Genomic DNA, 25,618 nt, shown 5'->3' with positions numbered 1-25,618 from the left:
GCCAGTCAGTCCAAGACCTGTGGGCATGAATGTTTCCTCTAGGTGTCCTCAGAGATTTTTCCCATCAAGTCTTGTCTGTTTTCTCACCTTTTTTCCCTAAATGAAATTGTAGACTCTGCTTAGTAGCTCTTCACTCTAGAGAATATAGTACCTGGCAGAATCCCCCTGGTGTTTGAGAAAGACTTGTAAAAGTGGAAATGGAGTCCTGTGTACCTGGGGACCTGCCAGTCTGAAGCAGCCCTTTGTGCCATCTGCCTGTACTTCGTAGCAAGATTGAGGGCTGAGAGGATTCTAGCTGAGCTGAGAGTCTCCCCATATGCTTTCCAAATTGTCATCCACATGTATCACCATTACCAGACCCTCCCCTAACACTTTCTTCCTGCACATGGAAACTCATCTCCATTGTTCCCTGCTGCTGGCTGAGACCTTGAACCACAGCGCAGGGAGAAACATCCCTCAGAGCTCACCTGGTCCAACCCCATCATTTCATAAATAAGCGGACTGAGGCTGAGAGGCTAATGCCAGGTTTAAGATCACTCAGGTGGCCTGGTGCGGTGGCTCATGCCTATCATCTCAACACTTTGGGAGGCTAAAGCAGGAGGATTGCTTGAGCCCAGGAGTTCAAGATCAGACTGGGCAAAATAGGGAGACCCCATCTCTAAATTTTTTTTTTTTTTTTTACTTAGCCAGATGCAGTGACACACACCTGTGATCCAGGCTACTTGGGAGACTGAGATGGGAGGATCACTTGAGCCCAGGAGGCTGAAGCTGCTGTGAGCCATGATCGTGCCACTGCACTCCAGCCTGGATGACAGAATGAGACCCTGTCTCAAAAAAAAAAAAAAAAATTTTTAAATTTTAAAAAAAAGATCGGCCAGGCACGGTGGCTCATGCCTGTAATCTCAGCCCTTAGGGAGGCCAAGGTGGGTGGATCACGAGGTCAGGAGATCGAGACCATCCTGGCTAACATGGTGAAACCCCATCTCTACTAAAAAAAAATAAGAAAAATTAGCTGGGCATGGTGGCAGGAGCCTGTAGTTCCAGCTACTCGGGAGGCTGAGGCAGGAGAATGGCACGAACCCAGGAGGCAGAGCTTGCAGCGGGCAGAGATCGCGCCACTGCACTCCAGCCTGGGCAACAGAGCGAGACTCCATATCAAAAAAAAAAAAAAAAAAAAAAAGATCACTGAGCACACAGCCGTGTCGGGTTAGCTCAGAGGCTTCGTCACTGCCAGGGCACTGTAGTTCCAGCTATATCCAGTGCCTCACACACCGGTAGATTCCACTGGAAACCAAACAGAAAGGGGATTTAAAAGAAGAAAGAGAAGAGCCTGAACTCTGCATGGGGCCTCAGCCACAGGCTTTTCTCAGTAGGCCACACTGACTTCCCCCTGTCCTACAGTCTTCATTAGGGCTTATTTTCAAGGCCAGGATAATCAGTCATCTTTCAAATTGCTCTAAAATATAACATAAAATTTACCATCTTAACCATATCTATGTGTGCAGTTCAGTAATGTTTAAGTATATTCAACATTACTGTGCAACCAATTTTCAGAACTTTTTTAACTTCCCAAACTGAAATTTCATACCCATTAAACAGCTCCCTATTCCTCCCTCTCCCCAGACCCTGTAACCACCATTCTACCTGCTGTCTGTATGGATTTCACTACACAAGGTATCTCATGTAAGTGAAATGGCACATTTGTCTTTTTGAAACTGGCTTATTTCACTTAGCATAGTGTCTTCAAGGTTCATCCATATGGAAGCATGTGTTAGAATTTATTTCCTTTTCAAAGCTGAATTGAGGAACAACTATATTGTTTTCCATATCAGCCACACCATTTTACATTCCCACCAACAACACACAAGGGTTCAAATTTCTCTATATCTTTGCCAACACTCATTATTTTCTATTTCTATTTTTTTATAGTAACCATACCAAATCAGTCATCTTCTTGTATATTTCGGTCATATTCATTGAAGGAATCAAGTGAAAGATAACACATTCAAAAAATGCCCAATACATAGTAGGCTGAATATTATTTTCGTTGTTGTTATTTATCCTTCCTGCCTGCCTATCATCCAGTTTTCCTTCTTCATTAGGTTTCTCCCAATCTTGTGGTTCTGAGAAGTTCAGACCCTCACATGAGAGGCTTAGAAAAGAACTAAAAACTAAAAAATACAAAGAGGTTCTTGACTCCTAGCCATAGCAAGTGATCTTCATCTTTTCATAGGGGACTCTACCCGTTTCCAGGTTTCTTTGCCTGAACTGTACCTATCAAATTTGATAACACCAAACCTTCTTACATTTCCTCCAAGGACACCCTGCTTCCTCTCCCCCCTAGCTGGAAGAATGGCCCATCCACTGCACACTGCTAGGTTGGAGTCTGTTTTGCACTTGGCTTTGTGCCTAGAATGGGAAGCACTTTTTTTTTGAGAGATGGAGTCTTGCTCTGTTGTCCAGGCTGGAATGCAAAAGCACAATCATAGCTCACTGCAGACTCAACCTCCTGCAGTGAAGGCTAAAGCGATCCTCCCTCCTTAGCCTTCCAAGTAGCTAATACTACAGGCACATGCCACTGGGCCCAGCTGGGAAGCCCTTGCTGACTGTCTCCCAGCCTCTCGCTACTCACTGTGAATCAGCCATCACTCTCCTCCATGTATGGTGGCTCCCAGCAGCCCATGCCAGTTGCAGTTTCATCAGCTTCCCAGTCCATGACCCATTGCAGGTATGAGTGGGCAGCCATCATCCTGAATGGAGTTGGCAGCACTGAGCAAGTTCTTTAGACACAGAGAAGGACATGATCACTACAAGGAGCCTTCTACATGATTTGCTTTTTATGTGAACAAATGCCAGCTTTGTACACACATAGCCACAGGAGTTGGGGCTATGTGGAAGTCCTCTGAAATACTAATTTTATATTATGAACAAAGCATAAACCCTGCTTCTGAATCCATTACCCAAAATTATTTATTAAAAAGCATTATTCACTTATTCTTTCAAGAAACTTTTATTGTGATTCCCAGGTGCTAGGTGTTGTTCTAGGCACTGGGGATTCAGCAGTGAAACACACGCTAAGTTCTCCATCCCCTGAGTGCTAGTCAGGCAGACAGACTACCAACAACACTAATAAGAAAGGTGTATATTGCTCAGTTATACAGGTAGCAAGGAAAGGAGAGACGATGTATCTGTGATTTGGATTAGAGGCCAAGGCAGAGATTTTAGATAAAGCCACCAGGGAAGGCCTTGCTGAGAAGGTAACGTTTCAGTAAAGATGGAGGTGTGGAAGCCTCTTATGGGTTTATCATGTGTAAATGTCAGATGGTTAATATTAAAAATGAAATCTTAATCATTTTCTAGCACTAGGTGGTTTACAAAGTACTTTCCAAATAAAATAACGCTCATAAAGCCTTGAGTACAGGACCTAGAACATTGTAAGCACTCAATCAGTGGTGAGGGTGGAAGCTATTGCTATGATGATTGACAGTGGCATCAGCACCCGGTGGCTATCTTGTCTCTTTAGAAAGTAGCCAGCCCTTCTACTGTGGCTACCGTGGATGTCATGGGGGCAGGATGACCTCCTGCGTAGCTTTAAGAGGGCTGAATCCACCCGGCTCCCTTCATTGGAGGTGTCTCAAGGGGCCACTACCCATGATCAGGTGCTCCTGTCTTTATTCCTCCAGCCTGAATGAGCCCTCCTTCCCTTTGCTCTCATTCCAAGCAGCTTTCTCTGCTGCAGAATCTAAAGCCTGGTCCCTGCAGTAGTCTCAGTAGTAGCTATAATTTGTTTATGATTAGTACTAGTTCTCCAAGGTACAGTTGAAATTGCATTGTTTACTGAACAAACAAGAGGAGAAAATGACATATTTTACGGGGAGGTATGGTGCAGAATGGTTACATGCAACCCCTTTGCAGGGAGATTAATGGCAAAATAGACACAGAGGTCATTTATAATATTACAGATGAAATTATTGGTGTGTGTTTTCAGCAAAGCAATGAAGATAAATGTTGAATAGGAAAACCTTAGGAAAGGATCACACAACAAAATAAAGGGGCTATGGAGACTACAAAAGAATAAGAAAATTTTTAATTCCTTCGGAGAACCCGACCACAAAAATGAAACGCACTCTGCCTTCCTGCGGGTGGCCTACAGGAATCTTGGCGGTTCTCAGTAAATCTATACGGAGACTGACTTTGTCCTAGGATTTGGAAGTTGGAAACCAGCCCTCATAGGCTCTGTCATGTCAGACAGCCCTGGTCCCACCCTAGTGCCATCCTTTATGTTGTCCTCTCTCACCATCACCTCGGGCCCCCTGCCAGTCCTATCAGGGTCTCCTTCGTATCCACTCACCTCCCTCCATCTCTATGTCACCAGCCTCATTCAAGCTGCCTCCGTGACTTGCTTGGTCGGTTACAACAGCAGCCTGCCAAGTGGTTTGCCCACTTCCATTTTCTCTCCATCCATTCTTCCGGAATCACTCAGAATGATCTTTCTAAAGACTTAGATTTTTTTCAGTTTCTTGTCTAAACTCCTTAAATAAGGTCCATGCTCCTTGCCACGGCCCACAGGGTCCTGCCTGGTTGGGCCTTGGCCTCCCTCCGCAGCCACCCCTCATAACCCTCTGTGACCATCTGTGACCCTCTTGAGACGTACTGGCCTCAGCTCTGCTTCTAGATCAGGAACATCCTTTCACACCCCCAGCCTTGCAGTTTCCGCTCCTCCACAGCCTTTTTCATGGCTGATTCTCTCTCATCCTTCACTATCAGCTCACATATCACCTCCACAGAGAAGACACATCACTTTTTTTTTTTTTTGAGATAGAGTCTCGCCCTGTCACCCAGGCTGGAGTGCAGTGGCGTGATCTGAGTTCACTGCAACCTCCGCCTCCTGGGTTCAAGCTATTCTCCTGCCTCAGCCTCACAAGTAGCTGGGACTACAGGTACATGCCACCACATCTGGCTAATTATTGTATTTTTAGTAGAGACAGGGTTTCGCCATGTTGGCCAGGCTGGTCTTGAACTCCCCACCTCAGGTGATCCGCCCGCCTCAGCCTCCCAAAGTGCTGGGATTACAGGTGTGAGACACCACACCTGCCATGTTGCTCTTTCTTCACCACTGTCACCCCAGTGCTGGGCACATTGTAGAAGCTCAAAGATTGAAATGGAGACTGGGGAAGGTGGGTGCAATTTCTGCAGTGCAACCCAAAGGAATGAGTAATTCCTAGCAGAATGCAAGGAAACCCCACCTCACGACATTCTTCTACTGAAACTCGGTGATCTGGTTTGTATTATTTGACTACATACATTAGCACTTGCTATGTGACAGGCACTCTTGAGGAGACTGAATAAGTGACATGGACTCCCTGCCTCAAGGAATTTAGAATTTAGTGGGAGAAGCTGGCAATGCAGATATAAACACACAATAAAGTGAGGCAAGGCACAGCCAAAGGTATGCATCAGCACCCCAGAGGGAGATGCGTGTCTTTCTTCAAGAGAGAAGAGCAAGCAGTTGGGGAAAGTGGCATCCAAATTAGCAGGAATTGTTGAGATCAAGATGATTCTAGACAACGGAACAAAGTTACACAAAGGCTGTAAGGAACTGCACATCCCGATGTTTAGCTAAAGATGTGAAGGGACATGGCAGAGCTGGGATTTGGACTGAATGCTACAGAAACCAGCAAAGGTTTATGGTAAGATTAGGACCAAAAAGGAGCTGACCTCAGAAAGCTGACTCTGGTGGTGAGGTGACTCCAGAGACAACTAATGCTGAAAACCCATCATTGCAAGTATAATTTTTCATAGCTATTATTTATGTTGGAAATGACTCTTGCATTTGTTTCAGTTATTGTTTTGCTGCAAGGATCTAACAGAGCCTTATCTCTACTGTGTGACATGAGGACACCCAAAGGTTCTCTCTGTCCCAAGATCTGGCCTCTGTAACCCCCTCACTGACCCCCTTCCCATCCACCCTCCATAGCTGGTCCTCTCAAAGTCCTTAGGATAGTCTCTGAAGTTAGCCCATAATAAGAACCCATGTATTCTGTTATGTCCACATGATTTCGTTTCATCCTCACATAAATCTTGTACATTAGGCAGCATCCCCAATTTATAGAAAACTGCAAGCTATGTCAGCATTCACCCCACTAGCTAGTAGAAGATGGGGGCTGGAGCCTAGTATTATTTTCTCTATACCTTAGGCAGCTCATCAACACAAACTGAACAAAGTGGGTCCTTGGGCCTGCAAGAGTATTCACAGACATGGAAACTAGGGGCGAAAGGCGCTCTTGAGAATACTGGACCAAGGAGAAAATCCTTGCAATGAGACGGTGGGGGTGGTGAGAAGTGCTGGAGGTCTTGGAATTCCTCTGCGAGGAGAAGGAACTAAAGATCCATTTCTCAGGCACCAGAGGTTCTCAGACTTGGCTGTACTCAATTATCACCCAGAGAGCCTGTGGCACCTGCTTTTTCCAAGCTCCCCACCCAGATCCTCTGATTCTATAGGACTGAAGTCAGGCCCAGGAAGCTCCTGCGTGGTTCTGATATAGGCGTGTGTGGACACACCATTAATGCAACAGCCTAAGCCCATGGCAACTATGAATGGCTGGCTTTAGAGGGTTTACAAACAAGGAAACTGAGGCCCAGAGAGAAAGAGACTTGTTCATGGTCCCAGAGGGCTGATGGCAAGGCTAGGCCTCAAACTAACTCTCCCACTTCCCGGAATCATGATTTCTTACCCAGCCCACCAGCAGCCATCCATAGCAAGACCCGCTCCTCGCTGATTTACATTTTGAGTCATAGAAACCCAAGATGCCAGCTCTTTAATGAGGTTGTCCACACTACAACTGAGGAGGCCCAAAGCCCTCAGCAGGACTGGTCTCTGCCAGGCTTAATTTACACAGTTCTCAGGCCTTCTAATACCCCCATTAACGTCAGAAAGGAATCTGCAGCTGTTAGTCTGTGCACTCGACTACATTCTCATCATGTCACCATCCATTTTCATGTCTTGAGGCTGTTGAGAGCCTGATTTTCCTAGTCCAGATCATGGCCCAGTCCCCTAGACTCCAGCTCCAGCCCCAGGTTTGACCTGAGTCCCCTAGACACCAGGTTCCCCCACGTGTCGTCTCCCCTCACTTTAATTGAAGAGCAAGACCCCCTTCTCACTGAAGCAGCACTCAAATTTCCTCCTTTAACGAGTGTCATTAGTTAGGCAAGAGCAAGCAGGTAGGAGATGGCCAGAAAGCTGATAGAAATGTGCCTTTTTAAAATGACACATAAATCACCCTAATTAAAAATTAAGCGCCCTAAAATGTGGCATTCGTTTAAAAAAAGAAATTTGCGTTAGGAGAGTTGTGTAGGTTTTGTAGCATCAAATCTCTAAAACACGATTGAAAGAGCAGAGGATGCATGGGTTTCTGTTTCGAATGCATAATTAGGGAAGAGGCATCATTCTCAGTGAGTGAACCCAATAAATCACCTGTGGTGTAGAACAGGAATTCATGTAACCTGACCTGGGCCACATGTGTCTCCAGTGCAAATCTGAACTAATTTCTACTATATCCAGAGAGGAGATAAATGGGCAAACAAATGTGGCCTGCTGCTTCAGGAGAGATGTTCCAGGATGCAAGTGACAGATGACTGAGACAGGAAATCCCACTGAGAGGCAAGTTTGCTGGGTGTGTGGCTTTGGAAAGATGCCCTGGAAGGGAGAAGGCTTCAGGGGAGAGTCATTAACAACAGCCAGCATTAATAAAGTCGACACTAACTCTATCCAATCAACCTCATAAACATGCAACCACCAACAGCTACTGCCCAGAACAGGACATCAGAGAAGGAAGGGACCTTCGAGGCAGGATTTGAGATCAACAGTGAAGATAGTAAAGGTGAAGAACCCATCCCTGATACAGAGGCATCTCAGCCCAAGATCTCCAGGCCTCCAAGGAAATGATACTCAACCATATGCCCCTGAGAATTGCCTGAGGAACAGTTTGTTGTTGTTGTTGTTGTTTGTTTGTTTGTTTTTTGAGACAGTCTCACTTTGTCACCAGGCTGTAGTGCAATGGCATGATCTCGGCTCACTGCAACCTCCGCCTCCCAGGTTCAAGGGATCTCCTGCCTCAGCCCTCCCAAGTAGCTGTGATTACAGGTGTCCATGACCACGCCCAGCTAATTTTTGTATTTTTAGTAGAGATGGGGTTTCACTATGTTGGTCAGGCTGGTCTTGAACTCCTGACCACAAGCAATCCACCTACCTCAGCCCACCAAAGTGCTGCGATTACAGGTGTAAGCCACGGCACCCAGAAATTTTAAAACCACCAGTGCCAAGAGTCTATCCTCCAGAGATACTGATTTCATTGGCCTGAACATCAAAAATATTCCTTACTTCCCAAGTGACTCCCATGGGCAGTCAGGGAGCCTCTCCTAGAAGACAATTTAATCTGAGTCATGGGAGAGGAACTCGAGCTCGGATCATCTCACCAGGTCTTGGGCCCCTATCTGTGGTTTACTAGCTGTGAGACCACTTGCAAAGTACCCAGTAAGTCACTGGTTACCTTCTGTAGTTCTTTGTTGTCTAAAAATCATTTCTCTGTGCATTGTGTAGGCTCTCACATCCTCAGTCTTCTGATTAATCAAATGAGCATATTACTAACGGTCCTTCCAGTTTTTATGAGATTCAAACGAAGGGTAAAGAAAACACATTGTAAGCTATTAAAATGCTATATAAAGGTAACCCCCTGTGATTTACATTGTTAGTCTGGGGGAAGTGCCATTTCAAAGGCTAATATGTAAATTCCCGTAGAAAGGACCCTCACTAATAAAAGATCCCCAAGCACCGACTCTTCCCAGAGTGGCTTGATCTCAGATCTCCCTTACTTTTGCCTATTAGGGCATTTAGGTGTTTCAGTGGTTACCAGGAACCACATGGGCAGAAGGCATCAGAAGTGTCAATGGGAAACAGGAGCTGGCTTTTCACGTCTAAGCCACTGCCCTTCCTCGTTGCTCTGCAGGCTGTGGCCAGCCGGGGCCTCAGGATACTCTACACCGCAGGCCAGAACAATCATTTTATAACCACAGAGAAGATGCTGTTTGGGAACTCAGGCCCTTGATTAAAATCATTCACCAAGGATACATTCCTTCTTGGAATTTATGGGCCCCATAAAAAACAGAACTTGAGAAGACAGAGCGTTGTTTTTTGTTGTGCCTCGTTAGTTTGGGGCTTGGGCTGGCAGTAGAGATCACAGTACCAGGCGTCCATCTAATTGACTCTTCTGCAAGCACAAAGCTCCCTGTGGGACAGAGAAGGCCGTGCCAGGGAGCCTGGAAATCTCCATTCGGGGAAGGAGACTGGGCGGAGTTGGTAGCAGTGCTGAAAACGTAGGCACCTCTGGGCTGCTGCTGTGCTTCCACCCAGGAAGACAGGTCCTGGGGACAAAATCCAGGGCATCAGAGAGTGGAAGCCACACTGGCTCCTGCTCCTGGACCTCCTCCTTTGTCAAGGTGTGTGGGTGAAGGGCAGGGATGCTGACAGCCTGACCTTCCATGCCCACCATTACCACTCCTTGGAGGCCGCATAAAGAATAGAGAACAAGGGATCTAAATCAGTGGGTTTCCATCAGTCTCTCAGCCAGCCACTAACCACTCGGAGCTTTGGTATTCTCAACTATCAAATGGACATAATGAGACCTTCCCCAGCTAATACACAGGATGAGTTCAATTCCCAAATAGGGAGAATTTAGATCTTTATACCAGACACTGTCTGAGGCTCTTGAAGGTGAGACTTGACACCTCCCCCTTCAAGTCACTTGCAGCTGGATGAGGAAGTCAGGCATACAAGCCATAGTAATGATATGTAGCAGTGTCTACCACATTAATTGTAAGAAGAAGTAATGTACCCAAGGGAAAGGGACATTCATGGAGGGGAGAATCCATGAAAATGGCACAGATGAGGTGGTGAGATCTAGATCCCCAGGGCCGAAAGAGGAAGAGTTGGTGGAAGGTGTCCCCAGAGGAGAGGGGAAGCCAAAGATTCCAAAGGATAACCCACATGTGACCTACTGATCCCACATGGAACAAACTCAGTAAGCATCCATACAGAAGAGGAAATCACCAAGGAAAATATGAATAGGGAGGCATCACATGAAAATTTCAGGCTGGGTGCAGTGGCTCACACCTCTAATCCCAGCACTTCAGGAGGCTGAGGCAGGAGGATTGCTTGAGATCAGGAATTCGAGACCAGCCTGAGCAACATGGTGAAACCCCATCTCTCCAAAAAAAAGGCAGCCAGGCATGGTGCTGCACACCTCTATTCCCAGCTATTTAAAAGGCTGAGGTGGAAGAATCACCCGAGGTCGGGAAGGTCAAGGCTAGGACGAGCCAAGGTTGCGCCATGACGCTCCAACCTAGGTGACAGAGACCCTGTCTCAGAAAATTTAAAATGCCTGTTTATCAAAATACATTATAAACAGAATGAAAATATACATAAAATACTGGGAAAAATTGTCACGCATATGATAAATAGTTTTGCATCCTTATTAATGACCTCATACAACTCAGTATGAAAACAGGAAGAACCTAATCGATACGTTGGCAATTCCCTAAAAAATAAATTTGGAAAGAAAAAAAAGCTAGTAATGTGAGAAAAAATTCAACCTCGAGGCTGGGCACGATAGCTTATGCCTGTATTTGGGAGGCCAAGGTGGGCGGATCACTTGAAGCCAGGAGTTCAAGACCAGCCTGGCCAACATGGCGAAACCTCGTCTCTACTAAAAATACAAAAATTAGCCAGGCATGGTGGCAGGCACCTGTAATCCCAGCTGCCTGGGAGGCTGAGGCAGGAGAATCACTTCAACCCAGGAGGCGGAGGTTGCCGTGAGCTGAGATTGCACCACGGCACTCCAGCCTAGGCCACAGAGTGAGACTCTGCCTCAAAAAAAAACAAAAAAACAAAAAAACCCAACTTCACTGGCTATCAAAGAAATCCAAAATAAAACAGCAGAGGGATACCTTTAGTTAAAAATAAAAATTCTGGTAAAACTCAGGGTTGGCCAGGAGGTAGTATGAGGGATGTGCCTGTATGAACACAGCTGGTGAAGAGTGTAAATTGGATTAACTTCTAGAAAGCAATTTGGCAATCTGTATTAAGAGCCTTTAAAATGTTTATACCTTTTGATTCAGTAATTCCACTTCTGGGAATCTATCCTATGAAAATAATCTGCAGTGCAGGCAAAGGTTTACGCTCAAAGATATTCTTCAAAGCGTCATCATAAACAGACTAGCAGCCCAATCATTGAATAATGTTTAAATAAATGATGGGACATATTGCACAATATTGTAGCCATTAAAAAGGATTTTTATGGGAAAATTTTAAAACCTTTGGAAAAGCTTGTGATACAACCTAAATTATTTTAAGGCCTATATGTATGACACAACTATACATACTTATAAAGCATGGGCAGAAGAAACTAAACCAAAGAGAAATCTACCAAGATGTTAAAAATGGTGGCCTCTGGGTGGTGGGATTCTGGGCATTTTCTTTGTTTCTTTTGACCCTGCTTTTGAACTTCAGACAATTGGATTCTGTTTTTAGAATGAAGGAAAGTAAAAGAAGCTGTAAGACCTCTTTGAGGAATGACAGGTGATTGGTGTGTGAAACACCCATGCCCATTGGGACATAAGGTGTGGATGAAACAGACATAGCCTAGATTTGTTCAGGAGGTTGAGGGAGACCTCATAGACTTTTTTTTTTTTTTTTTTTTTTTTTTTTTTTTTTTTTTTGAGATGGAGTCTCACTCTGTCTCCTAGGCTGGAGTACAATGGTGCGGTCTTGGCTCACTGCAACCTCCGCCTCCCTGGTTCAAGCGGTTCTCCTGCCTCAGTCTCCAAAGTAGCTGGGACTACAGGCACGTGCCATCACACCCGGCTAATTTTTTGTATTTTTAGTAGAGACGGGGTTTCACCATGTTAGCCCAGATGGTCTTGATCTCCTGACCTTGTGATCTGCCCACCTCAGCCTCCCAAAGTCCTGGGATTACAGGTGTGAGCTACCACGCCTGGCTGATTTTTAAGTTCACTTATGTTTTCTGTGGCAGGGCTGGGAGTGAGGGTAATAAGGTCTTAACTATATTTAATGGTCTCCTGTGGTAAGGCATAAGAAAAAGTGATTTGGAAACAAAATCACCAAGCAAATGTGAGAACTTTTCTTGTTATCCTAAATACCTGTGCCTTGAAAGAGGGGCAAAGAGGACACTGGCCTTCCCCATTTTCTCCTACTAAGTAGAAAGAATAGAACTCCCTGTCCTGGTTGTTACAAGTTTAGTGAGCAAGCAGGTGCTGCTTCTGGGGTGCTCTCGACTCCTGGGACACAGCCCCGTCAGCTCCCCAGGCAAGGGGGCATCTTCTCCCACTGTTTTAGGGAGACCACACCTTCCGTGGGACCAGCACCAGTGTGTGCAGAAAGGCGTTTTACCTTCTAGCTTCCAAGAGGACATGAATGATAGGTAAAGAATTGATGCCCAAAATTAAAGCTGCAAAATGAATTTGACATTTTACATCCTAAAATGAGCATTGTATCTCGTTCTCCTGTTCCCTCTGTACTTTGATCCTGTGTGTTTGTCTGAGAATATGGCCTCCATACAGTGGGGGATTGATTCCAGGACCCCCAAATCTGCACAGGCCCAGTCAGCCCTGCCAAACCCAAAAATATTGTATTTTCCATCCGTGTTGGGTGAGATCCATGTATAAGTGGGTCCAAACCTGTATTGTTCAAGGGTAATTTTTTGTTGTGCATTTTCCTGCACTTAGAATCTATAAGTTATCTGGGGAAACCTTGCTTAGGCTATCTTGAGGCCCAGGAACGAATGGAGTGGTGTTTTTCCTTCTGTGTGAGTAAGAAAAAGGTAGAGATGAATAGTCCAGGGGACCACAAAGGTCTAGTCACAAAAACAAATTAGAGCACTGAGAAGTGGATCTAAATCTACTCTGGGCTCCCAGTGATGGGAGCCTCGGCTGTCTGGGATTTCAGCGGGAGTCAGGTTTCGATGGAGTGTTCATTCTCTATTGCTGCTGTAAAAACTACCACGAACGTAATAGAGCAACATGAATTTGTTCTTTTACAGTTCTGGAGGGCAGAAGTATGAAATTAGTTTCACTGGACTAAAGTCATGTCAGGCAGGCCAGGTTCCTCCTGGAGGCTTTAGGAGAATCGCTTCCTTGACTTTTCCAGCTTTCAGAGGCTGCCAGCACCCTTTGGCTTGTGACCCCTTCCTCCCACTACTCCAAACGCTTGCTTCCACCCTCATAGTCCCCTACTTCTTACTTTGACTGTCTTGTCTGGTGATCACATTGCCCATACCCCCCAACCCTAGATATTCCAGGTTAATATCTCCAGCTAAAGATTCTTAATCACAGCAGCAAAGCCTCTTTTACCACATAGGTAACATTTTCACGGGCCCCAGGGATTCGGATGTGTCTATTTGGGGGTCTGCTATTCCGCCTACTGAAGATAGGTAACCTAATGTGCAGGCATTCATGAACCCTCCTAGGGGCCAGGCACTGGCTAGGCCTGGGGTGAACGCCAAGCTCACACAACTTGATGAAGATGATGGGATTGTGCACAAGCGTTCTGGAGGCAGGTTGCATGGAAGCAGCAGCTCCCCAAATGGAGGTGGGGAGGAAGGTGTGAGGATTGTGCCAGGCAGTGTCTGTGAGCTGGACCTGGACGGACGGCAGGATTTCAATCAGCAGAGTATGGGGTGCATCATCACACAACCATCACATGACCATGTTCATCGCCCTCTGGGAGCCTGCAGCACAGAGTCCATGAGCAGAGGCAGAGGGAGAGGCAAAGCAACTTAGGCCCAGATCACAGGGACCTTGAAGAGCAGGTGAAAGGGCTCAGATATGATTCCCTGGAAGGAGGTGGGATCTGTTTTCCCATTACTAGTATTTGCAGAGAATGCCCAGTAGGAGGCAGGGTGGACAATGCTGGGTGGCCGTGTGCTGTCATCTGACAAACTCTGCCTTATCTGGACTACCCTAGAAAAGAGGGCACAAGGCCACCTCCAGCATCTCCTTCCGTGAGATGGAGAGGGCACCTTTACAGTCAGAGAAGCTGGGTGTGAATCCCACATACCAGGTGTGGGGCCTGAGATAAGTCACTGAACCTCTCTGACCTCAGTTTTCCCACTTAGGAAATGGACATCATTAAGACCTGTCTAGTTTCCTCACAGGGCCAGATGTGCTAAAGTAGATGGAGAAATTCCAGAAGTAAACAAGCTGGGCTTCATGTTAGTTTCAGTGCTATTAGGAAGAGTCCTTTGAACCAGGAAATCATGGACTTTTAGATATTAAAGATCACCTAACCTGGAGAGTACCTCATCAGAATCAGTTGAGTTTGATTTGCAGCCAGAGTTGGAAAGGCCCCACCCCCATGTGAGGCTCAGAGAGGCTGGGGGACTTAGCCAAGTGGGGTCCTAGTTCATCTTCCCCCACTGCCCTGAGCACTGAGATGGGTTTAGCACCAGCTATGACCAGGATAGAGCTAGAAAACAAGGCAGAGAGTAAGGCAGGCTCACTCGGGGTGTTGACCCAGGTGAGCCCTACCTGCTCATCTCCACAGGGGCCAGAGTCTCCCCATCTGACATCAGCCAAGAACTGAGTAGCAGGAGGCACCAGCCAGGCCTTGTGAGGTGGTCCCCAGGCAAAGCCCTCCATTTGGTCAGGGAGGCTAAGCCAGACCAGCCTTCTCCTTCCTGTTGTCTGAATCTCTGGGGCCTGCAAAGATGTGAGTGGTCACAGGTTAATTCATTATCAAAATGCATTGTTCTTAATCCAGAAACTGATAACTCTGTATGTTCATTATAAACTGCCCCCATCCCTTCCCCCTCTGGATAAAATTAATTATCTAGGAATTTCAGACTAGAGCAAACCTTAGCAATCTAATAGAAATCCCTCCTTTGATAGAGGATGGGACAGGGGCCACACAGAGAAGGGACATGGTCAGCCTCATACAGCCAGGCAGGAGGATCCAAGTCCAGATCTGAGGCCCAGGCTTGCATGATGGTGTTCTTTGCATTCCAGAACAGAAAGTGCTGCATCTTTCTAATATCTTCTCAATAAGTCACTCCAGTGGTAGAACCTGGGGTCAAGAACATGGGGGACATGCACTAGACCAGATCCACCTCTTGGTACCCCAAATTTGACCTTGAGGGTGGAGCTATCTGTGCAGGTGAGACTCCACCTGGAGGCCATCCACTTGGCACACTAAAGTCATGGGTTTGAGGACCCCCGAGGAGGAATGTCATGGAGGGAACATGGACCACTCTGCTGCTCACCTTCCTAGAAAGTGAGATACCCCAGCAGGCCATGGATGAGCGTGAGGGGTTTTGACCCCTCTCCCTGCTGATGTTGGCCCTGGGTTGGCCAGATGGAGATGCAGATGTCTCAATCAGGCCTTGGAGTGTGAATGGCAGGGCAGGATAATGCTGTCCCTGCAGCCTGCCCATGGGACCAACCCATCAGGCCAGCTGCTGCCTGGGGCCATGCAAACTTACCATGGTTGTGTGTCTGTGTGCTCTCCAGGAACATCCCCAGGCTCCAAGATGGCCCTGCAGAGCTCCTTCACTTGTTGGAATGGGACAGTCCTCCAGCTTGGGCAGGCCTGTGACTTCCACCAGGACTGTGCCCAGGGAGAAGATGAGAGCCAGATGTGCCGTGAGTAGATGGGGCTGCCCCACCCTGCCTGAGCCCAGCCCATGCTCATAACCCCGTTGTCCCCATTATCCCAGGCATGAGAGCATGGACAGCCTTCCTGATATCCACTGACACTTGTGACTCCTCTCATGGCAAAGCCACACAGTCTTCAAGAGGCAGAGCTAAGATTTGTGGTCTAGAAATAGCCTGGTCCGTAGTCATATAAGTCAAGAACCAAACAAGATCTTGTAAGTGATGCTATCAGCATCCTCAAGGCACAGAGAAAATGTGCAGGATAAAGCCCAGCTCTAATGTGACATTGGAAGTCCTCTATGCCCAGACTTCCCTCGCCTTCCAAGTCCCATTCCCCACCTGCCCCTCATCCTCTCCCTCCTCCATGCACCCCAGCTCCGGCTGTATGGAACCACCTTACAGATCCTTCATGCCTCCATGGCTTTGCTCACATGGTCTCCCCTTTCCTTTCTCGAGTCACATCTACTTCAAGACTCGCCCTGAGTCGATTCTTTCAGAAAGCCTCCCTGGCCATCCCCCACAAGTACCACTGGTTCTTCTCCCTCTGGATCCTTCCCCCACAATCCAGTGGATCCATCCAAATATCATCATTGCCATTACTTTTTATGAATAGTTTTGAGATACAATTCACATACAATTCACCCACTTCAAGTGTACAATTCCCTGTTTTCCATATAGTCACAGGGTTGTTCAACCATCATCACAATTTTATTTTAGAACATTTTTATCACCCCGAAAAGGAACCTGTAGTATCTCTCCCCATTTTGCTCCAAACCCCCTGCCATTAGCCTGAACCAACCACTAATCTTTGTTTCTATAGATTTGCCTATTCTGGGCATTTAGCATCCTACGAGGGGCCCACTTTCTCCATATCTTTGCCAACACGTCATATTATCTGTCTTTTTAATTTTAGCCATCCTAGTGGGCATGCATCCATTATGTTTTATGGAGGTGATTTCCATGTCTCTCTTCCTCTCTGTGGGTGGTTTGAGTCTGGTCATCTTTCCCATAGCAATACCTCTCATGATTCCTGGCACAGCGTCTGTGCTTACTGACTCTTCATTGATGAGAGGAAAGAATGAGTTGGGAAACTTGGACTCCATAGGGGAAAACAAATTGCCGAGGCCCCACTGGCAGTCGGGGCGGAGTAGACTCCCAGCTGGTGCTCCTGCACTTGAACATGGTGCTCCCCGCAGCTGCCTCTCCAGAAGTAATCACCGCAGAGCCCTTGATGTTTTTGCCACTGAAACCACCAACGCTTCCAGAATACCTACAGGCAGCTGGAAAATGTGCCAGATCCTGGAGCAGAGATGAATAACTTGGCATCTTCCCTCAAAGCACTGAAAGCTTCACACAGGGGCGGGAGTGAAATGGAGCCTGGACTGGGGAAGGAGGAGGCAGAATGGTGCCTGGGGTGGGGCCCAGACCCGGAGCAAATGCCTCACCTCCCAGATATGCAGACCCCAGTGGCCTGCAAGGAAGTTTCCAAAATACGTTTTAAAACAGGGCCCTCTGCCCCCAGTCATCTGGACCCTTTGTGGGGGGTGGAGAAGGTTTCATTTATTCTCATTTAAATTAAGCAATAAAGACATTCATTTTCCCATTTTTAAAACTTCATTTCTATACAAAACTTTCAAGTGAAGTTTTCCAATGATAATGGAATAGTTGTATGTTTTTAGATAAAACTCAGCAAAGAGTTACAGGGAAGGGCTTTGCTTACCCTGTTCTGTTCCGCTCCTGGCCTTTCTCGTATAGTTCTCACTACACACATGGCCCAAAGTGAAGCCAGTCCTGCCCACAGTGCCCTGTTCAGGGGCCTGTGTGTGTGTCTCTATTTATTTGTGTCTGCAGTGTTTCCAGCAGTGCCTCTGAACTCTGTGATTTCGCGATTGCCTTTTTCAAGTTTTTTGATACCTACTTCCCAGCTGGGACACAGGTCGGGCAGGCCATGCCCTGATTGACAATTGGGAAAATGAAGGCACAGATAAGGCAATTGACTTGTTCAGGGTCACACAGCATGTCAGGGACAGATTAGAGCCCTGAACCTTCAGGATCCAGTCCATTACTATGGGCTCAGGGCATTTCCCACCACTCCAAAGCTTACCACTACTGGTTTCCTGGCCAGCTCCAAGCTTCAGGGCAGTCTACTTCAGGCACTGAGGGCAAGAACCTGGGGCCCAGAGGCTTTTTCAGCCACATTTGAAAAGCGGCTCTGACAAGCTGTCAGAGTAACCCCTCCACCCTGGAGAACACCCCCACTGTGTTCTTGGCTACAGAAAGCAGTTGCTGGGAGGGAAGTTCAATTCAGGAGAGTTATTCCCACTCAGATCTTAGCAAAACTCTTAGAAAATATCCTTTTTCTTATTTGTGTGCCCTATCCTTTCCGGCATTTTTGCTGTGTTCCCCATCACACTAATGTTGACTCTGAAAACCATTCCCATGAAGATAACAACAGCAACAACACCAGCTTACCTGTTGAGCCTTTACTCTATGAGGCAGGAGCTGTTCTCAACACTTTTCATGTAGGAACTTGCTTCATCCTTACAACATCCTGTGTGATGCTATTGTACCCATCTTTGTTAGAGACAAGGAAGCTGAAGCTCACGGAGTTTAAGTGGTTGTCCACGATCAAACTGATAGCCAGAAGCTGAGCAGTGATTCAGGCTCAGTCTGACTTCAGAGCCACACTCAAACCACTGCAGGGTAAACTCTGTTTCACGAGCTTCCAGCACTTAGCTATGATAAGCACTGAACCTAGCCACAGACACACCCAGGATGAAGGGGCCAGGAAGAGACAGGGAGGTCCAGGGCCCTGCTACCGCCTTTCTCTGGGGGCCTCCCCCTCTGGGTCTCGGGTTCCTCATCTGTAAAGTGATGCCTACTGACACTCTGAGGTCTGAGAAACAAGCAGGAAGTGTTTGGAGCAGCTCCTGGCACAAAGTAAGTGCTCAGTAAATGTTAGCCAGTATTATTCATGTTATTATTTTCTTCAGGGGGATGGTTTCCAGAATCAACACCAACATCATAGGAAAATACTCTTGACTACACCAGCTCTTTCCAGGTGGTCTGGAACCTGTTAAAATGTTTCCTCTGAGCAGGTGTTCACACTGCAGCTCTGTTAGGAATGGCCAGGTCCTCTAAAGAACCTTCCTGAGGGTCTTTCATCTTGGGCCAGGGTAGTTGACCAAACCCTGCCATGGTTGGAATTTGGAAGGGGAAAGTAGGTTGCATTTAATCAACTCCCCCTACCAAAAGCCAGCCTCAACTCCCCACACCTTCCCAGAGGGAGTCCTCCGCACATGCTGGGGCTGCAAACAGATTATCAGACTCACTCTGGGCAACGTAACTGGATCTCTTTGGAGCCCTTAAAAATTCTAACAGTTGTCCAGGATGAGTGGAGGGCCTGAGATGGAGGTGACATTCCCTTGCCTTTTTCTAGCCAATCATGATCCTCATATGTCCACTGTACTCTCTCCTCCAAACCCACACTCCAACACAGTACTCTCGGTCCCCTCTCCAATACAGCCACTCCTGCATTTCTAATTAAACATCGCCAAATCCAAGTGAGACATCCCAGATGCTGTAATGCACTGAAGGGGGTCTTCGTGACTCTCTCTGCGTTCTGACCAATGGCCTCGATGGCATGTGGCTCCCTAGAAAGGGGCCAGATGTTCCCATTTCATCCCCTAGATGGGTCAGTGATTCACTAGGTATTGCAGACAGATCACTTTTCCCCCATGGACTTGATAATCTCATCTGTGTGCTGGGGATACTCTTCCTGCCAGGCAAAAACAGTGTTTTAAAAGTGTATTTCTTTATTGTAAGATAAAACATACTGGTTGTAAAATACAGAAAATCTAGAAATGTACACAAGAGAAAATAACTATCGCCCATAATCCTCCCTCTCAAACATTCAGAGATAACTGTAATATTTTGATGTATTTCTTCTAGCATTTTTCCCATGACTCTATATTTTCAAGAAAATGTATAGCACATATTTATCAAAAATGTTAACAGAGTTGTCACGCAGGAAGGAAAAGAAGTAGTGTCATTTGGCCTGGAGTTTATACTTGGCAGCTCCCACAGCTGCTGCTGAGGTCACAGCTCCATGACTGTACCAATTTGTCTCTCTTAGAGTGGAATCAGGTGTCATAATTGCCAAATGTTGCAGGATTGATTGACCTACCCACAGCGCGATTTGGCCATCCAGCCAATGAAATAACTGGCTACAGCCCAAGAAGGGGGTTGGTTAGAACAGTGCTTCTCCAGATTTAAGGTGCACAGGAGTCACTAGGGGAGCCTCTTAAAAATGCAGATTCTGATTCAGTGGGTTGGGGCAAGGCCTGAGATTCCACACATTTTACAGATTCATAGGTGATGAGGCTACAGCTGGTCCCTGGACCACATTTTGAGTGGTAAAGAGTTAGAGGATTGAGCCCACTCCCCTTTTGTTCAGCAAATAAGTTTTGAAGTCTTCCAGTGTGCTGACTGAGTAGGAGCTTGGGGCGAATGAGAAGAGAAAAGGATGATCAGAGGATGAGTTGATACCATTAGACCCAATCCTGCAGGCCAACCTTTTGCTCAGCAATTGGCCTTAGTGGTGATTTCCCAGTTGCAGCCTAATCCACAGGGGTCTTTGTTCCGACTCTTAACCTTAACCCACCAGCTTCCTCAGGAGTGGCTTCTGGCTGAGCAAGCTGCCCTGATGAGTTTACAATCATGGAAATCCTCAGCTCTCCTTCCTCCCTTAGGGGTTTTAATTGCCACATCAATTGTCCACTGGCCTGTCTTGCTCTTTTGCCTGCCTCCTCTCCCGTTATTGAGTCAGCCAGAAAGAAAAGGGGTTTCCACTCCCAGCTCACCCTGGATTCTATGCCAAGCTGAAACAAGAATGGGATTCCAGAGACAGAGAATGCTGATGGCTTTCTTCAGTGGCTTTCTTCTGTCCAGCTGAAAGGCATAGGCAGAGCTATCACATATGCAGCCTCCAACAAGCATTTCCAGAGAGCCAGGCAGGGACTTGCTGTCAGTTTCAGCCATACTCTGAAGAACTAGCTCCAAGTTAGGTGTGAATGGCAATTAATAACACTACCACCACTTTACATTTGCACCTCTCTGGCTGTTTACAAAGTGTTTCCACACTCTCTCCCCTACTTTATCCTCAAACCAGCTCAGTAAAATAGACACTAATACTGCCCCATTTTACAGATAAGGAACCTGAGGCTCTAAGGAAGAAGGGACTTTTGTAAGGTCACAAAGCAGGAAGTGGTGAGGCTAGAACTAGAGCCCATATGTCCGGATTCCAGTGCTGTTGTGCTAACAATACCCATGATCCAGGCTCAGTTCTCTCCCTCTGCCTCCTAAAAGGGTAAGGAGGGAGTGACGTACTGTGCATCTCCCACCTCAGGCCGGCCTCCTCCTTCCTCCAGGAATCCATCACCCACTGGAATCTTCCATCATGGGCCCTGGGGTGTTTTGTTTGTTTGTTTTTGCTTGTTTGTTTGAGATGGAGTTTTGCTCTTGTCGCCCAGGCTGGAGTGCAGTGGCACAATCTTGGCTCACTGCAACTTCCACCTCCTGGGTTCAAGTGATTCTCCTGCCTCAGCCTCCCGAGTAGCTGAGATTACAGGCACCCACCACCAGACCCGGCTAATTTCTGTATTTTTAGTCAAGACAGAGTCTCCCCATGTTGGCCAGGCTGTTCTCAAACTCCTGACCTCAGGTGATCTGCCTGCCTCAGCCTCCCAAAGTGCTGGGATTGCAGGCGTGAGCCACCGTGCCCTGTCGGGCCTTGGTTTTTAAAACTCACTTGTGAAGGACACTCCATGAGAAGGTCACTTCCACCAGTTGGTTTCTGCAAGAGAAGTAGATGTGGGATCCCTTGAGGGGGAAATAAAAAATAAAACAGAAAGTTCTTCTTAGCTTTGGGATTTTTAATCATAGAAACATGTGGGGCTTAGGGGGAAATTATTTCTTCAGGGGGGTATAAATGGGAAGAGATGTTCAAAGTCAGTGACAGCCTGTTTTAATTTATAATTCTGCCTCTGTGTGAAATGCACAGAGAATCTGGGGGAAATGAGTAATAATTCACTAAGGTGCTGTCACAGCCAGGAAGCGTTAGGGCCCTCTTTGTCAGCCTGCTGCTGCCAAGAAGGCTGAGACAGAGGAAGGACATGCAGTGCTGTGGGTCTCAGCTAGAGAGCTTCTTTCCTCCCACATGGAGACACAGGCTTCTCTGCAGCTAGGCTGGGAGGTGTTGGGGGCCATCAGAATCGCCTGGAATAGGCCACTAGCTCCTTAGGGCTGAGTGCCTTTCCTGGAGCCATGCTCAGAGTGAGCTGGAGAAAGTGAGCTCTCTCCCTCACCCTCTTATCCTTTCCTCTTCCTTCTGTGGGCAGTTGGGAAATATACAGTCTAGAAAGCTGACTGTCACCTCTTCAATAGGACCTGAGATCAGTCTGATGTAGAGAAAAAGATGACGTGCCCTTTGTGCTGAGCCCACTGATGATATAAAGAGGCCCCAATGACTGGGATTGTTTGATCAGGACAGGCTAGATTATGCTGCAGTAATAAACCCCATATCTCAGTGGCTTGGGATAACATTTACAGTACCCGTCCAATGAGGGTGTGGGTGGGAGGGGCCTCTGCTCCACAGGATCACTCAGGGACCCAGGCTGGCAGAGGCTCCTCCGTCAATATAGTGTCACCCTTAGGAACAAGAACTTTCATTGGTTGTTTCAGCAAGGGAACAGAGAGACCAAAGATTTACACAAGGGCTTTTAGCAGCCTTAATTCAGAGAAGATACATCACTTCCACTCACATTTCATTGGCCAGAGCACATCATATGTCTTCACTTAACTGCAAGCGGGTTGGGAGAGAAAGGAAAGCAAATGGAAAGTTTTGAGCAATATGTGTCTCTGCAGACAGGTAATTTGATGGACCCAGACAAACCCCCAGCCAACACTACCACAACCACCACCACAGTCTGGACATTGTATCAACCATTAGAAATGTAGTGAGCTATACAGTGGCTTCTCCTGGGGTCACATTCATGGTGGCTGAGTATAAAGAGTGCAGAATTTAGAAGCAGAAGACCTGGGTTCGAGTCCTAACTGGGTTATCTGTTAGCTGTGTGACCTTGGTCAAGTTGCTTCACATTTCTGAGCCTCTGCTTTGTCAGATATACAACTGGACTAACAACACCCATGCTGAAGAGTTATTTTTCCTATTTTGTTTTCTGTAGATAAGAAAACTGTAAACCAGCACGGGCATCAGTTAGGGCTTGGGGGCTTCTCTTCATTATAATCAGTGTCATTAGTCATCCAGCATTCTGGCTGGGGAGCTATATTACTAATGAAGATAATTTGGTCATGCCTGGCTAATTCGACTTGGCATTGGCATATTTTGCCTTTAGTGGTCCTGAAAATGATGGTGCCTCTCTGCTCTCTCCATAGGGAAACTGCCTGTGGGTTTTTACTGCAACTTTGAAGATGGCTTCTGTGGCTGGACCCAAGGCACACTGTCACCCCACACTCCTCAATGGCAGGTCAGGACCCTAAAGGATGCCCGGTTCCAGGACCACCAAGGTACTACTGCTCTCCTGCCTTCTCTCTGGTGCCCATCTTCATGCCCACATAGACAGATGGGAGACTCAGGGCTGGACTTCACCCCACCTGCAGGGCAAGCTCGGGTGTCTGACCAAAGCTTGCCTAGAGCGTTCACACACAATTCCCTCTTCACACCTTGGGCTTTCGAGTGATTAAATCTGGCCAAGATAGATGTCACCTTTGGTTACTTAAAATAAGAACCATGAGGAGGGATTAACAAAAAGATAATAGCAACAACGATAATAATCCTTTCCATCAACAAGTATGTGCTGAGGGCGTCCTATGTGTCAGGCACATAATTCATTGAGAGGCAGGGAAAGCCATAGCCCTCTTTATGACTGGGGAGACTGAGGCACAGCAAGTCCTTGTGTCATTTGCCCCAGGGTTGTGCCCAGGGAGCCTCACCCTATACCCGGTCCATGGTCCATTCCCTGCAGCACAGCCTCTCCAGCCATCCCCCTACCTCACCCCTGATTTAAGCTAGTAATGCCTGTCCTCCCCTCTCCGGGGTCCATCCTCCCCACAAACCCTGCGTGTCTGGCAGAGAGCAAAGGGCCTCCACGCAGCCAAGAGATAGCCAGCCCCTCCTGGGTAAGCTGACTCCAGACTCAGAGACACCAGGCTGGGCAGGATGTGGGATCACAGAGGGTCTATATGGCCAGCAGAGCTCCCAACGTTAGGCTGCTGGAGAGGCCAGGCTAGCCAGCCTTGGGGGCTGTCCCTAGTGGTGGGACCCGGGCAGGCCCTGGTGCCCACCTCTCTGCAGCATAGGGCTGATGGGGTGGGAAGGTCTCTCTCCTTCTTCTGTCCTCTTCATTTGCCTTCTTTCTATGGAACTAGAGACCCTCCAATGCTTATTTGTTGAACAGTGAGTTGGCTCAGTCCCCACTGTGCAGCAGCATCCTTCTTAGCATTCTGTCTGTAAAAGACGCAGAGGAGAGAAATGGAGTTCCAAGCTGGATGTGCCCTTCATGTCTCTGTTCCCAGTTTGATAATTTCCACTACAGCACCCATAGCAAATAAGCATCCAGCCCTGCGGAATACCGCCAGTGACAGGGCTCCCACTGCCTCCTAGAGCAGACATGCTGTTGTTCTCAATCACAGATTAGCTTTCCTTACCTGGAGGCAAGCTCCACCTCTCCATGACTTCTACTCATTTATCATGCCTTTTGCCCCCTGGAGCCCCACAGAACTGAACTACCCCCTCTCCCACCAAGGCAGCCCCTCAGAAATCTGAAGGGAACAATTGTGACCCGCCTGCCTGCATGAGGGCTTTTCTGTCCCCAGTCACACAATGCCAGCTCCTTGAATCTCCCTCATGCTTGCTGAGATCTCTTGGTTACTCTGCCCTTGACCCACCCGAATTTGTTACTTAATAACAGCCTTTACTGAGAGAGGCAGAAAGGTAGAAAGGAAAGACTAAAGTATAATGCTTGGGGTTCTGTGGCCCCCTAAAGTGTTGTGAGCTCACAATGGCACTCATACCACAGCACCGGCCACGTACAAAATGCTCTGCAGACCCTGAAAGTTTGCAGATGCTTCTTCCCACCACCACGTGTGGATGGGAGCCCCTGTTCTCCCAGATTTTCAGGCAGAGCCATGCTTAGAAAATATAAGAAGTGAGTCTTCATGGGCAGGGGCACAGGACGACCTGGGTTCTGGACAGGGGAGAAGAGAGTGAAGGTCACAGAAACCACTGGAAGGCCACGCATGACTGAAAATGGGGAGGGTGGAGCTGGGGAGGCCAGTGTGCTTCAGGCTAGTCCTGGGCCATGGGCTAAAGCTGGTGACCTTGGAAGATCAGGGATGTGGTAGCCCAGATGATGGTGCTGGGACCTCACAGGCAGTTTAGAATGAAATTGTTGGCCAGGCGCAGTGGCTCATGCCTGTAATCCCAGCACTTTGGGAGGCCGAGACGGGCAGATCACCAGGTCAGGAGATCGAGACTATCCTGGCTAACACAGTGAAACCCCGTCTCTACTAAAAATACAAAAAATTAGCCGGGCGTGGTGGCAGGCGCCTGTGTAGTCTGCCACTTGGGAGGCTGAGGCAGGAGAATGGCATGAACCCGGGAGGCGGAGCTTGCAGTGAGCCAAGATCGCGCCACTGCACTCCGGTCTGAGCTACAGAGCAAGACTCTGTCTCAAAAAAAAAAAAAAAGAAATTGTTGACAGGTGGGCTTTCTTCTCCATTGCAGGCCAGAAACCTGTTTCCTCAAAGATATCCCTAGGCTAGATAAGAACTGTGCACAGTCCATTAACCCTGCACCCCTGGTCCCCCAGTTCCTGAT

General features: G+C 47.4%; 1 protein-coding gene and 1 long non-coding RNA gene across 4 annotated transcripts in view; one reads left to right on the top strand and one right to left on the bottom strand.

The window, feature by feature from the left end:
- Nucleotides 1-24,660, bottom strand: part of LOC101929386 (uncharacterized) — a 32,817-nt gene extending 8,157 nt beyond the window's left edge. The window contains exons 1-7 of one of the 2 annotated variants that reach the window (XR_939920.3): nt 24,085-24,172; nt 22,542-22,579; nt 21,530-21,600; nt 15,549-15,673; nt 14,925-15,133; nt 14,599-14,769; nt 2,633-2,780 (exon numbers count right to left, since the gene is read on the bottom strand). This is a non-coding gene — a long non-coding RNA (uncharacterized LOC101929386). Of the gene's footprint in view, nt 1-2,632; nt 2,781-14,598; nt 14,770-14,924; nt 15,134-15,548; nt 15,674-21,529; nt 21,601-22,541; nt 22,580-24,084; nt 24,248-24,447 lie in introns of those variants that run through there. The other variant, XR_007086263.1, reaches the window with a different exon arrangement.
- ALK (ALK receptor tyrosine kinase) overlaps nt 1-25,618 on the top strand; it is a 728,813-nt gene that overhangs the window by 577,529 nt on the left and 125,666 nt on the right. For both annotated transcript variants that reach the window (XR_001738688.3, NM_004304.5), the window contains exons 6-7: nt 15,577-15,708; nt 23,176-23,307. Coding sequence is in view for 1 of the 2 variants with exons in the window: in NM_004304.5 (NP_004295.2) it covers nt 15,577-15,708; nt 23,176-23,307 (264 nt within the window). In the remaining variant the exon portion in view is untranslated. The remainder of the gene's footprint in view (nt 1-15,576; nt 15,709-23,175; nt 23,308-25,618) is intronic.

This window comes from Homo sapiens, chromosome 2 (assembly GCF_000001405.40).
Source record: "Homo sapiens chromosome 2, GRCh38.p14 Primary Assembly".
Taxonomy (NCBI): Eukaryota; Metazoa; Chordata; class Mammalia; order Primates; family Hominidae; genus Homo; species Homo sapiens.
The sequence above is the reverse complement of the archived record's forward strand: the minus strand, read 5'-3'. Positions and strand labels throughout refer to the sequence as shown.